Source organism: Homo sapiens, chromosome 17 (genome assembly GCF_000001405.40).
Source record: "Homo sapiens chromosome 17, GRCh38.p14 Primary Assembly".
NCBI lineage: Eukaryota > Metazoa > Chordata > Mammalia > Primates > Hominidae > Homo > Homo sapiens.
The window spans coordinates 69,169,956-69,184,002 of NC_000017.11; the positions used below are offsets into that span (position 1 = coordinate 69,169,956).

The following is a 14,047-nucleotide window of genomic DNA, read 5'->3' on the forward strand; positions in this document are numbered from 1 at the left end:
TATATAGCAATATATCTTCAGTATTCTATAAAAATTAAGTTGGATTTTCTGGCCGGGCACGGTGGTTCAATCCTGTAATCCTAACACTTTGGGAGGCCAAGGTAGGCGGGTCACCTGAGGTCAGGAGTTCAAGACCAGCCTGGCCAAGATGGTGAAACTCTGTCTTTATTAAAAATAAAAAATTTAGCTGGGCATGGTGGCGCACACCTGTAGTCCCAGCTACTCAGGAAGCTGAGGCAGGAGAATCACTTGAACCCGCGAGGTGAAGGTTGCAGTGAGCCAAGATCGCCCCACTGCACTCCAGCCTGGGCAACAGAGTGAGATTCCGTCTCAAAAAAAAAAAAAAAATTACGTTACATTTTGTAAATCTAACAATGCAAGTGAAGAATGTATCTTTGACCATCTTGCTTCTTTCACCTTTATTCCATTCCTTTTTGTCTTCTTACTACACTAATTACCACATCTATATTGTTTTACTCATCAAAAAAAAAAAAAAAAAAAAGAAGTCTTCCATTAACCATTCCTTCTGGCAAGCAATGATAGCAACAACAATGCCTTGTAAGGAGTAATTAAACACTTCCTGTTTCTGCTTCTGCATTCTATATTTATTCTTCCATCTGCTACAAACTGTATTCTGCATTCACTGCTTTATAAAACTGCAGTCTCAAAGTTAGTTGTAGACATCTGTATGTAGAGATATGATGTAACAGATACCCTAAAGGGTCTTACCCATACTGTACAATTAAATTTTGGGAAATTGAAACAACTGTCCCTTACATACACTGCTAGTTTCAAGGGAAAAAAAAAAAGTGAGGAAATTCTTCAAGGACAAAAACAAAGCCTGAAACCCACCTTGGACCATTAAGTAAACACAAAATCTGCTTGGGCTGAGGACAAGTCCCCATATCAGCCCATGAGTTAGGAAGATATGATTTGGGTTCTCTTTAAAGTCATTCCCTGCAAAGACCTTTAAGAGACTAAAATGAAACCCTCTTGATGGGAATTCCTTGTAAATCCCATATTGAGGCATGATACTCTAAGTTGGCTTGTACAATCGTAGATGGATTCTACACTGCATGTCTCACAAAAGTAAGTGAAAATCTTTTGGGGATGAAAACATCCCTAATACAGAGTCTTCGGAGTTCCACACTTTAAGGTCAACCAAGTATGAGCTCCTCTCCCCGACAAAAACTTATCAAACATATAAGGCAATAAGCACTAGATGACTTTTGAGACTAGAATTGTCAAACGACAAGTAGAAATGTTGTTTTCAATGAAATGTTGAAATAAATCAAATATGAAATATAGAACAATAACAAGTAACAAAAGATTAGGAGAAATAACTAAGCATATTTTAAATAGAACCAAAAAGAGTTTTGGAAAACAAAATTGAAATTTTAAGTAGTCAATGAGTAAAAATAATTTAGATGCAGATGAATTTAAAACAAGTGAATTGGAAGAAACGTCTGAAGCTTCCCCAGAAGGCAGCAAGGACAAGGACATGGAAAATTTGAATGAAATGCTAACAGATGTAGAGAATAGTATGAAAAGCTAATATTATCTCAGTAGAGACTTTAAGTCAGACAGGCAATATCTGAAGTGGTATTGGCTGAGAATTTTCCTAAACTGAAGACAGAAATGAATTCCAGGCATCCCAATTTATACAAAAATAAAGATAAATAGAAAATCACACCTAGAAACATTGTAATGAAAGCTAAAGTCAGAGAAGGTTAGTCAATGAGAGAGCCTCTGCAAAGGATAGCAACTGACTGATAGCAGACATCTGAACAGTTAAAATGTAAGCAACAAGAGAGTGAATTTTCAAAGTGATAAGAGAAAATGACTGTCAACCTAGAAATGCATAAGCAGCTAAATTATGTTTTAAGAATGAGGGTGAAAAAAGATTTTTTTTAAACTACGAGAGTTTATAGCTAACTGACCTGTTAAAGGAATATATAAATGATGCATTTTGGGAAGCCAAAAAAAAAAAAAAAAAAAGATTGATCTCAAAAGGGAGGAAAAAAAGACTAAAATCCAAGTATGAATAGTGAACAAATAGATTGATTTAAAATGTACACAAATCTTTTTTAAGTTCTTAAAATGTTAATAAAAATGCTTATTTGAGGGATTAAAAAAAGAAAACCAAAACACTAGACAATAGCATGTAAGTAGGGTAAGAAATTATTAATAATAAAATCCTCAAAATATGGTGTTGGAAGTAATTAAGATATTTATTAACTTTAGGCTTTGTTAAGTTTAGCACATAAAAAATTTTTCAGGGGTGTTATGGGCTGAATTTTGCCTCCCCAAAATATATATGTTTAAATTTTAACCCCCAGTAGCTCAGAACATGACTATATTTAGAAATAGTCTCTAAATGGGTAATTAAGTTTAAAGGATGCCATTGCAGGAGTCCCTAACCCAATGTGACTATTGTCCTTATAAGAAGGGGAGATTAGGACACAGACGCGTCCAAAGGGAAGACCATGAGAAGACCTGGAAGAAGATGGCCCTCTATAAGCCAATGGGAGAGGCCTCAGAAGAAATCAACCTTGCCAATAGCTTGACCGTGGACTTCTGACCTCTAGAATTGTGAGAAAATAATTCTGTTCCTTAAGCCTCCCAGTCTGTAGTACTTTATTATGGCAGCCCTAGCAAATTAATACAAAGTAATAAAATATAGATTATGACTTTCAAACCAAAAAAAAGAAAAATATGGAATAAAAACAAATTCAAACAAACAAAAAAGGGAAGAAAAAAGAGAAATCACATACACAAAGCAAAAAGTAAAATAGTGTAACTTCAAGAATATCAAAAATCACAATAAACTCATTAAATTAAAAGCAGGTTAAGTCTGAATTAAAAAACAAATAAAATCCAACTATATTTCTTTTACAAGAGACAGGCATTAAAGCATAAGAACAATAAAAGTTAAAAGTAAACACAAGTGGCAAAAAAGATTTATCAAGCAAATACTGAACAAAAGAAATCTGGTGTACCTATATTAATATGAGACACATTTGACTTTATGGCCAAAAACCATAAGAATAAATAGGGCTGGTGTATAATCATTCCAGACTTCAATGCACCAAACAAAATAGTTTCAAACTATACAAAGCAAAATTGGATTAAATTAAAAAGTGAAACTGACAAGCCTACCTTTACAATGGAATTAGAAGAGAAAAAAATAAAGATCAATGACTAATGCCGATGGTTAAGAAGACATTACCCTTGGTTATGATATTTGACCATTGTAGTACAACCATTGATAAAACTGGCCCAAGGAATTATGTGATTAGCTGTCACAGGGATGCGATTTGGAAGCTTAGAAGCAATTTAGTAGCCTTTAGGATTTCTGCTGACATACTGAATTCTCCAACTGGTTGTGTTTGTGATATTCCTGCTTATACTAAATCCAACTTTTAAATACTACTCACAAAGGCCAACCAATGTAACTGTAACAGCTCCAGTGAAGTAAAACTTTGGTCCTTTTACCCTAATCCCTTCACCCTGTCCACAGAAAGAGAAAGGAAAATCCAGAAGAAGAAGAAGAAAAAAAGAGAGAGTCAAAGTGTAGACCTTGCTCTCTTTCTCACCGCTGATCCCCAAACTAAGGGCGTGCCTAAGATGAGCCTGGGGAGAGAGTTTTACATTGCTTAAGAAAGTTATGATTTGGACTTGACCAACCTTTTAGATTTTTTTTAGTTCTTTAAGTGAATCTTACTTAACAAAATTGGACTGTTTTAATGTTTGAAATGGTCAGAAAGCTATAGTAACTGCTTAAGATATCAGCTAGTGATAGGGAAGGAGATGCAGTAGCATATGCCTGAAGTAATAAGTAAATTATTTATTAAGAAAACAGTTTCTTATTTATTTTATTCATCTATATAGCCCCCTATCATGCTTGTTGTTTGTTTGTTTTTTAAGGAAGGAGAATTATTTAAGAGAAAAACATCACTGAGTTGAGAGGCCTGCGTTTAAGTCTGATTCTTTTCAGTTTTTCCCACTCTGTAAAATGAAGAAATGTCCTGAATGATCTAGTCTTTCAGCTGTTACATGCCATGGTTCCTACATATATTTTACTTCTTTCCAAAGAAACAGAGTTCTAAAAAAGAAACCTCAAAGAACAAATGGGAAATAAAGGAAATAAAATGAACAAAACATTCTGAACCCATAAACATGGTACAACAATAATGAAAGTACAAAAGAAAAACAAACAAAAAACCCTCCATTCTCTTCTAAGCAAAGTATTTATACTTAAATTTGCATTTAAAAAAACTTCAAGGAAATTTAATATAAATGTGCACGCATGTATATATACTTACAATAAAAAAGCCAAAAGACCAAAAGCCATTATTTTTTCTCCACTTGCGAAAGATGAATGAAAGCACATATGTGAGGAATATAAGAGAAACTGCACAACCAATTATGCATACCACCTGCAAATAATGAGGATCAATGGCAAGATTAGAAATGGCAGGTCATAGAGGGAAAGAGGAGGGGAGATAATCAGGTCATAAAGCTGCCTAAGGCAATTTTCTTATTTTCTTGCATATTACATGCCTTTTGCTAATGACAAAACATTCATGAAAATGAATTTTCATTTTGATTCTACTATTATAATTGGCTTGTGGAAAAAATGATCACTTACCAAAACAAACATGAGTTCCCATGAAAGCTGGAATCCCAGAAATATGAAGTAGTAAATTAAATGTATTGAAAAGAGAATCAAGAAGTATAATGGAATGTCCACCAGAGCCTGTCCACACCAGTATGCTGAAGGCCAGAGGCCTGAAATCCATAACTGGGATTGAACATTTTTCTGACAAAGAATAGAAGGGATAGAGGAAGGGATCTTAGTTTGAAAAGATTTTGTGGTTATGTAAAAAAAATTGTTTAATAAATTTTAGAAATAGTATGTTATAGTGTCTGTGTGACAAAAAGCATCCTCCTAAAAATCTAGCATCTCCAATGGAAATGTGTAGTTATTGGTTCAACAGAAAAGTCTCAGCTATTTTTAAAGTTAATTTACCCATTGATACAGATTAATGAAGATGACTACACTATATATTTTTAAAGCCCAGTTTATTAAAGCGTAGTTAAATAATTGGAAACACTGTATGTCTGACATTTCATGCTATAGTTAAAAATCTAAATTCCCTTTGGAACTGTGAAATAACTGCATGGATCAAACAGTACCACATCTTCATCCCTGAAGTTTATTTAGCATGATTTCCCTTACAGCTGTGGCAATTTTATTGTGCTAAATGGTAAACTTTCTGACCTCTTTGAAATCATGTGTTTACTATAATCTATACTGATATTAGATTGTAATGTATGTGTAAAAACATTAACCAAAGTACAACTGTGTGTGTATAAAACAATAAAATTGCAATTACTACAGTCAAATAAAATCAATCTCAATCTAATTTCCTCTCTCTCCCTCTTACTTTATAATCGCTGATGCTGCTCATGCCGATAAAAGGAGAAACGCAGTTTGTGATCAACAACAAAAATATGGACCCATCTATAAAACCAAGATCCAGCACTATGTCATCCTGAAAGATGAAAACACATCAGTAAGCTGTTGCAATTGTTACAAATTATACAAACATTATAAGATACGTTTCCAGGAAATAAAGAAAAACTCTAGAAGCATTCACCTGATTTAAGAAGCAAAGAGACAAGCAAACATGTTTTGTTAACCTTAGTGGCAGGTTCCATTCCCAGGAACAGCATGATATAAAAGAAATTCAAAATCTCAATTTTATATGTATATACGGTAGTCTCCCGTTTCCACAGGGGATATATTCCAAGACTCCAAGTGGATGCCTGAAACCTGGATAGTACCAAACCCTATACATAATATGTTTTTTTAATCTGATAACTGAAATGGCTACTAAGTGACTAATGGGTAACATATACAGTGTGGACACACCAAACAAAGGGATGATTCACTTCCTGGGTGGGAAGCAGGACAGGGCAAGATTTCATCATGCTACTCAGAACAGCATGCAATTTAAAACATATGAATTATTTATTTCTGGAATTTTCCGTTTAATATTTTAGAACTACAGTTGACCAAAGGTAACTGAAACATCAGAAAGCAAAATCACTGTGAAGGGGGACTATTGTACTTAGAGGGCATGAGCAGTTTCTCTTTTACATTTACATCTGATATTTTAGGGAGCTACAGTTATCATATCTGAAGCACTGAGTTAAGTTGTCATTTGTTCCAGTTCCCTATTTCCAAGTTGGCCTCTAATAGTGATTGTTGTGAAGCTGGACTTATGCTTAGGCATTATGCCTAACTACGTGCAAGATACAATTAGAAGAGAGCAAATCTTCCCTGCCTACATAATTTGACTTCTAAAATTGTTTAAATTAAACAATTGTCAAGGCATTGAGGGGTCTTTAAGTTTTTTTCAAGACACTGTAATTTATTATTATTATGACAAAAAAAATCTAAAGAAAAGGAGTGCAGAAAAGGTAAGTTTTTGTCATAAATGCAGGTGCAGGTGGAAGGGCAAAAAAGAAGCAATGAAAAGGTTGTTCTAAGAGTATTAGTAAAGATGTGGGAAGAACCAGATTACCAGGGGCTAAATAAATGCACAATCATCAGTGTAAGGGAAGGGTAACACTTATGACTCCATATCCCTGCTTCCCAGTATCACCCCTGGGAAAGGATATTACCCATGTTGTTGATCCTGTTGCTTAATATTAAATGGGCCAATGTCATTGGTTGATGCACATATCTGTTTTCCTCTCTAAGAATCGGACAAGACTTCATCATGCTACTCAGAACAGTGTGCAATTTAAAACTGATAAATTATTTCTAGAATTTTCTATTTAATATTTTTCAACCATGGTTGACCAAGGGTAACTGAAACCGCAGAAAGCAAAATCATAGATAAAGGGGGACTACTGTACTTAGAGTGTACAAGCAGTTTGGGTCCAACTAAAGAGATACCTTTTTTCTCCTTTATATCCTGCACTCTCTACTTGGGTGTACTGCTTAATTTTGCTACCCTAAATCTCTGCTTTTCTTTGCTCCCCCATCTCTCTTCTGCATATCCTCAACTTCATCCTAATGATTCCCAAAGTATGCATTATCTCCATCTACTTCTCTGGGTTCCTTGCTTTTAAAATATTCTACAGAAAGTATCTACTTGGGTATACTCTGCTTTATCTAATATACTAAGTCAAAAACTAATACTAGCATCTCCTCCAAATAAACTTTCCTTTTCAACTTCCCCATTTCTATCAGTAGTTTTGTGACTGTTTCAATTTCCTAAGCTACAAAATTGTCTTCTTACATGCATACCTCTTTTTTATACTTCTTTCAATCTGCCATTTAATGCTACTATTCTATGAAATTCACATGAGTTTTTCTTTTGTCACTTATTCCTCTTCCTGTATGCTGGTCCAGACACTTTTGTTAGCTTCTGTTGGTCCTTGACTGGCATTTGAATATTAATATATGGTAGGAGGATCAGGGGGTCCAGATACACAGAAGGTCAGAGCTAACCAGTGAAAGTCATTATTAGGCAGAGTTCTAATATAGGCATTTGAATCCTTCACCATTGGGATTCCAATGCCATATTAGAACTTGACTTGTGAATGTCCAATTACGTTCCTTAGTATATTTCTATTTATAACTTAAGTATATCAACTTCAGAGGCATTAGTGAGAACTAAATTAAATAATGTATAGTGAGGCCAGATGTGGTGGCTCACACCTGTAATCCCAGCACTTTGAGAGGCTGAGGCGGGTGGATCACCTGAGGTCAGGAGTTTGAGACCAGCCTGGCCAACGTGGTGAAACCCCATCTCTACTAAAAATACAAAAAAATTAGCCGGGTATGGTGGTGCATGCCTGTAATTCCAGCTACTTGGGAGGCTGAGGCAGGAGAATCACTTGAACCCAGGAGGTGGAGGTTGCAGTGAGCTGAGATCTTGCCACTGCATGCCAGCCTGGGTGACAGAATGAGACTCCATTTCAAAAAAAAAAAAAAAAAAATATATATATATATATATGTTATATATATATATAGTGAAATAATAATATTTTTATTTGCTACATGTAGCATTTGCTATATGGGAGGTGCTCAATAACTAAGAATAGTTGTTTTTAAGATGAAAGCACTAGAATTTAAAACAGACCAGGAAGCAATATCAGGCAAGAACCAACAAGTAGCTAAGGAACAGATGACACGTAGCTTAGTGAAGTACACATTTCAAAGTCTAGAAGGATAATAAGAAACAAAAAGGGCATAATTTTAAAATAGTGGGAAAATGAGGTTATTAAGAGAAGTCATGACAGCTTTAGAAGACACCTTCAGCAATCAGAGGCAATGTACAGCCAAATCTAGACGCAAGTGAGCCTCACAGAATTGTGGAGATAGTGACTCTTCTATGCTAGTGGTTCTCTAAGTGTGGTCCCAGACCAGCAGCATCAACGTCACCCGGTACTTACTGGAAATGCAAGTTCTCAGACCTCACATCTGATCTACTAAATCAGAATCTCTGGGGATGGTGTCCAGTAATCTGTTTTAACAAGCCCAGCAGGTGATACTAGTGTATGTTAAAGTGGAAGCACCTCTGGTCTATGACTTCTGCTGGCATATAAATCAGCCCCAAGATTTGAGGTGTCCCTGAGAAAGGATGTTATTAAATCTGAGTAAAAGGGAAATTGTGACTGAAAATAAAAATAAATTATCCTCCACAATGGGTGAGCAGTAAAATATACTATACTAATCCCTATTCTTACTATAATTGATCATTTTGTTTGGTTATGCATGAGTAAAAGAATGAATAATTATTGTTTTCTTTAAAAAGAAAATACCTGTTTCTGGTGAAAATGCAACAACTAGAAAAAGACTGAAATTCTTAACTTTCCTAAAGAAACACAATTTCCATTTGAATATTTTAAAAGTTATTCATGAGGGACTAAGAGAGAACTCACCTTCCCTGGATCCACAGGAGACAATTTAATATCCAAATTGCTTCCTTGACAAGCCTTCCGAACATTAATTTTGTCTAGATTTATATACATTGCAAGAGAAGAAGGTTATGTATCTATGCATCATCTCCTCTGTTTTCTGATTCGGTTTAGCAAAAAAGTAGATTAAAGAGCTCTATCTGTTGAACCCAGGAGGCGGAGGTTGCAGTGAGCCGAGATCACACCATTGCACTCCAGCTTGGGTGACAAGAGCAAAACTCCATCTCAAAAAAAAACAAAAAAACAAAACAAACAAAAAAAAAACCTCTATCTGAACCTCGTCAAAAGGGAAAAATAGAACCCCATGTAAGAGACCTACCTAACATGTTGGAGCAATCAACAACGAATGTATTTGATGTCTGGAGGTAATATGCTAAGACAAATATTCTGTGAGTTCATGAGTAATAATCTTAGTAAGCAGATTCAGAAACTAAACTCAGGTAACTGATGGGTCCCTCTGGGGCCCACTGGCCACATGAGACCCATTCAGCTCTGTGCAGGGTGAAAGGCTACCTGGAAAAGATAAATGTGTGTCATACTGCATCTGAAGCAAAAGCCTCAAGAGTAACTTCTTTCCTCAGCTCCATTTCTATTTACTCCACCTAAGGATTAACATAACATTCCCCAAAACACTGGGGAAAAGAAAGGAGGAAGGAAGAAGCAGAACAGTCAAAAGGAAAGGTACCCTCTATCAGACTGCAGGTGATAAGGAGGTCAACCCATGCTACTTTCTGCATGAGCAGAATTTCTTTATCTTGATATTCTCTACGGAATTCTCTTTAGCAACACCCAGAGGCCCTGGCAAGCTTCCTGCTACCATTGAGGGGAAAACCCCAAATACCATCTTTCTTCCTCCAGAGCTGGCTCATGCTCAGCCAGACCTATTTTCCCTACAGAGAAAGCTTTTTTATTAAATGCAGGGTGAACTACAGTGGTTTGCACTCAGTAAACCCAGCATACATTCAATTCTGAAAAATCCGAAAGCCCTTTAAATCATATTACTTAAAAGTTGCAAGATAATTTTTATGTCTTTACAGTAATGAAGAGTTTGTCCGACAAAGGCTAACTGTAACATGCTTCCACAGTAATGATAATAATGGCTCATGGTTGTGCGATACATTAAACACTTTTAAAAATAATATCTTAGTTGAATGTTACGTCTACTTTATGAGGTAGAAAAAGCAAGTATTAAAATAAAAAAATTTTAAAGACAGGACTATTACAGATTATCTGCTTGCAGTTCCCATCTTGCAGAAGAGAAAGCTGTGCCATAATGGTAACAAACGGTGCACAGCATAACCAGTTATCCAGTCTACCCACTCATTCATCCATTCAACAAATATTTATAGAGCTTCTGCTCCGTGCAATGCATCATCCTTTGTGCTAGAAATAAGTCAAGTATAATTATTACTTTCAAGAAGTTCATATTTGAAAAACAATGACAAACTGAGTCTGAACTCAGTTCCACTGAAAAATAAATTAGGAGGGTCTTTAAGCATTAAAGCATCTGCTGAAAAGTCCTGGAGGATGTTAGGAGATTGATTAAAAAAAAAGGGAAGACAACATCGATTCTATATTAAAAGTAAACAATTAAGGGTAAATAAAGGCATGATTAACTCTGGAAGTACTGGGAAATAGATGAAATTATATTAGATCTCACTCTTGAGAAATTACCAGAACTAAGTTTTGATTATATTTTTCTTATTTTTGCTCTGAACTGGTAGCACATTGCTATTACCATCCAGAGAGACACTGTATTGTTTTATATTAGATAGTTTCTCTACTTACAATTAAATCACCCTATCTCATTCGCAGAAAACTAGAGTTTGCATTATATGGTATTAATTTCTTATTATGCAATTTTCCAATAAAATTTCATTATCTAAAACCACTATGCATATTCTTGCTAACATCCACATGATTTCTATAATTTTTTCCCTTTTTTATCTATCATAATCAAACACACCAGTTAAGAATTTGACAATTTAGAAAGAATAACTAAATTGCATCTGATCAAAAATTGCACTTCACACCCCAAGTTATAAAACATAAAGAAGCCAAACCAAAAAAAAGCACTGCAGAATTTTAAATGACAAAGAACAATAGAACTGTTAAAAAATCATAATTTTAGAATTGGACCATATTTTATCATAAATCCCTTTGGTGGAGATATACATATACATATGTGGGTGTGTATACATACATACACACTCTTTTGCATTTGCATTAATCAGCGTATATGTCTTATATTCATCTAACTCTCCAGGGAAATCTGACACTCTGACATAAAATTAAGGATTTAGGTTTAAGATATCTCTGATATTCTTCATTTCCAACCAAATCCATTCACTGATTTAAGTAAATACGCATTGAGTACCTAGTAAGTTGTATATGGTAAACCAAAGTCAAAATTATGAGTTTTCAACAGTCCTATGATTTTTTTCTCTTTTATTTTAAATTTTGCAGTGTCCTTTTGGATCTTGGCTCTTCTAATGTTCTGTGTTGGACTGTGATTCTTAATCAGACAAGATTTTAAACTAGAGGGGTGAGGCCAGCCATAAAACATAACTCTACAGCATACCAAGTGGTAATAAATGTAATGGAAAAAATAAATCAGGATAAGGGATAGGAAGTGATAGGTTACATCTAATTTACTAAGTAAATAATTATATATTTAAATTTTTCCATAAAACTTTTGAATTTTAAAAATTTAATTAGACTAAACATAACAGTACTTGAAAGATTCTTGATCTTTCAGAATAAGTAATAGCAAACATGTATTTGAATGTTTCCTCTTTCCTTTATAGGAACGTAAGCTCCATATGGGTGAGATTTTTGTCTATTCTGTTCATGCTGTATTCTCAACATCTAGAAGTACCAGAAAATAGTACACTCAGGAAGTAGTTATTGAATAAATTTAAATGTGTATATATATTTATATGTAAATATATATATATATGTATGCCATGCTATGTTCTAGGTACTCAGTAAATTCATTTAATCTTCACAATAATTCTATAAAGTAGGTACTATTACGCTCCCTACTTTGCAGATGAAGACACAAAGGCAAGGAGTAGCTAAGAAACTTGCTGTTAAGTGGCAGAAACAAGATTTGAACTCACATGGTAGGCTCTAGAGCCCTCATCCTTTATCCCTCTGCTGTGTTGCCTCTTATATAAGTCGAATACTCTACTTACACGAGAAAATGAAGTGCTCTCCATTTGAATAAGCTCCGTGAAGTTAAAAATTCCCATAAGGGCATTGCTAACAATTCCCATAAGAACAGGAAAACAATTCAATTTCTTGGTATTACACGCAACAGAAAATCTGTAATCCTTGAAAAAAAGTACACAAATATAAGTTATAAATTCTTATAGTAAATATATTTATTGTATACTTTGTATATTACCAGAGTGGAATTAGAATGAGAAGGAGACTATTAATTTTTCTTTGACACTTCTGCCTTCTTTGAATTGGTACAAGAATGCATTATTTTTGTAATTCAAGTGACTTGTTTTGTAAATGAAATGGATTAACATTTACTAACATGAAAAGATGTCAAATATTTATATTTTATGTGACAAAGAAAGTTTCAAGCCTCCTCTAATATGATGCCAATTTAGAAAACATACTTAAGTTTCCTATAGTTCTAAGTATTAGGACGTGGCAAAAAAAACAAAAAAAAACCAAAAAAAAACAGTGCATAGAAGCAAACATACCTTCTGGTCACCAGACACTATGATGGCTCCATTGTAGGAGGGATCATCTGAGCCATTTCTGTTTCTAAAGTCATCTATTTCCAAAACTATATCCTGACACTTCAGTGAATGCACGAGGTCTTCAATATTTGATCCTAACATAGTGGAAGGAAGGCAACAAGAAAAAAAAAAAAAAAGCAAGAAAATCAAAGTCAAAGCTTAAAATAATAATGATTGCCAATCGTGTTAAGAAAAACCCAGAATAGCTTAGTAAAGAGCCTTGCTCTTTAGGAGTACAATACTATTCATTCTGATGCTACCACATTAAGTTCCATTTACTATCTTCAATGTGACGGACTCCTTTATTCTTTTCAGAAATATATTCATTTATCTTATAATTCTCACCAGGTGAAAAGAGTTTATGAAAATAAGATTGCATTTCTCACAGGAAGAAAATTTGCTAGGAGTGACTTTTATAAACTTTACCAGAACCCTGTAATATTTGTAATTATGAATAATACATACAAAATATACCTCATGACCCAGGCTTGTTCTAGTGATCCTGTCAACCTTAAATGGCACTAACCTTGCCATGATATTTAAAGTACTAGTAACCCATTCAAAACATCTTTATGGAATTAAGTTAACTTGATATTTGCCATTGTGCCCATTATTTTTCTTGACTTGATTTCCATCATAGATGGAAAGGAAGTCAAGTTGGTCACAGGGAGAAGTCAAGCTATGATGCAGCCTCCACATCTGAATCAACCACCCCCGCACCAAGGGAGCTCTGGATTTAAAAGGACCCATCAGGGAGAGAATCCACAGATCCTTTGAAAGAGGCGGCTTGCAGCTGCAGGCTCCATGAGACAGCTGAAAAACTGAGTGCCCTCGGTGTGAAAGGGCAATGTGTGTCCCCAAACACACATCCTCACTGGGGAATCCGAAGGTTGAGATCACGGGAGGATTTTACCTTACCTGGAGCTAAGACGAATTTAGAAAGCCAAGCGAAATATAGGGGTAGAGGAAGCAGTGGGAGGAACCCTGTGGGCACTCTCAGCCCCCAGGGAAGCCATTTTTGACTTTGTCTCAGAGGGGTCCTTGGGGAGGGCTGCCAGTGGAATTGGGGAAAGACCACAGGAAGAAGGAAACTTCCAGCTGAACTTTGTAATAATTTTAACCAAATGCATAGTTTCCTGGACAGAATCTTGGGGAAGGAATGATCAGGGAGTGCAGATTCAAGCACAGAAGCCATGGCAGGGGGAAGGCACATAACCGGAGAGCCCTGCTTGCTTTCTCAAAGGGAGTCTTGTAGCATGGGGTGAGTTCTCAGTCCTGCTCACCAGCTG

The 14,047-nt window shown here is 35.2% G+C and overlaps 1 protein-coding gene across 2 annotated transcripts in view, besides 1 other annotated feature; it reads right to left on the reverse strand.

Moving 5' to 3' along the window:
- Window positions 1–14,047, reverse strand: part of ABCA10 (ATP binding cassette subfamily A member 10) — a 96,842-nt gene that overhangs the window by 21,949 nt on the left and 60,846 nt on the right. For both annotated transcript variants that reach the window (NM_080282.4, NM_001377321.1), the window contains 5 exons: window positions 12,720–12,853; window positions 12,198–12,335; window positions 5,451–5,558; window positions 4,652–4,822; window positions 4,326–4,439 (listed from right to left, as the gene is read on the reverse strand). In NM_080282.4, coding sequence (NP_525021.3) covers window positions 4,326–4,439; window positions 4,652–4,822; window positions 5,451–5,558; window positions 12,198–12,335; window positions 12,720–12,853 — 665 coding nt within the window. The remainder of the gene's footprint in view (window positions 1–4,325; window positions 4,440–4,651; window positions 4,823–5,450; window positions 5,559–12,197; window positions 12,336–12,719; window positions 12,854–14,047) is intronic.
- Window positions 9,719–9,919: a silencer, noted in NCBI's record as "peak2965 fragment used in MPRA reporter construct". NCBI's record gives its function as "represses an SCP1 promoter by STARR-seq MPRAs in K562 erythroleukemia cells {active_cell/tissue: K562}" and the evidence as "EXISTENCE:reporter gene assay evidence [ECO:0000049][PMID:32103011]".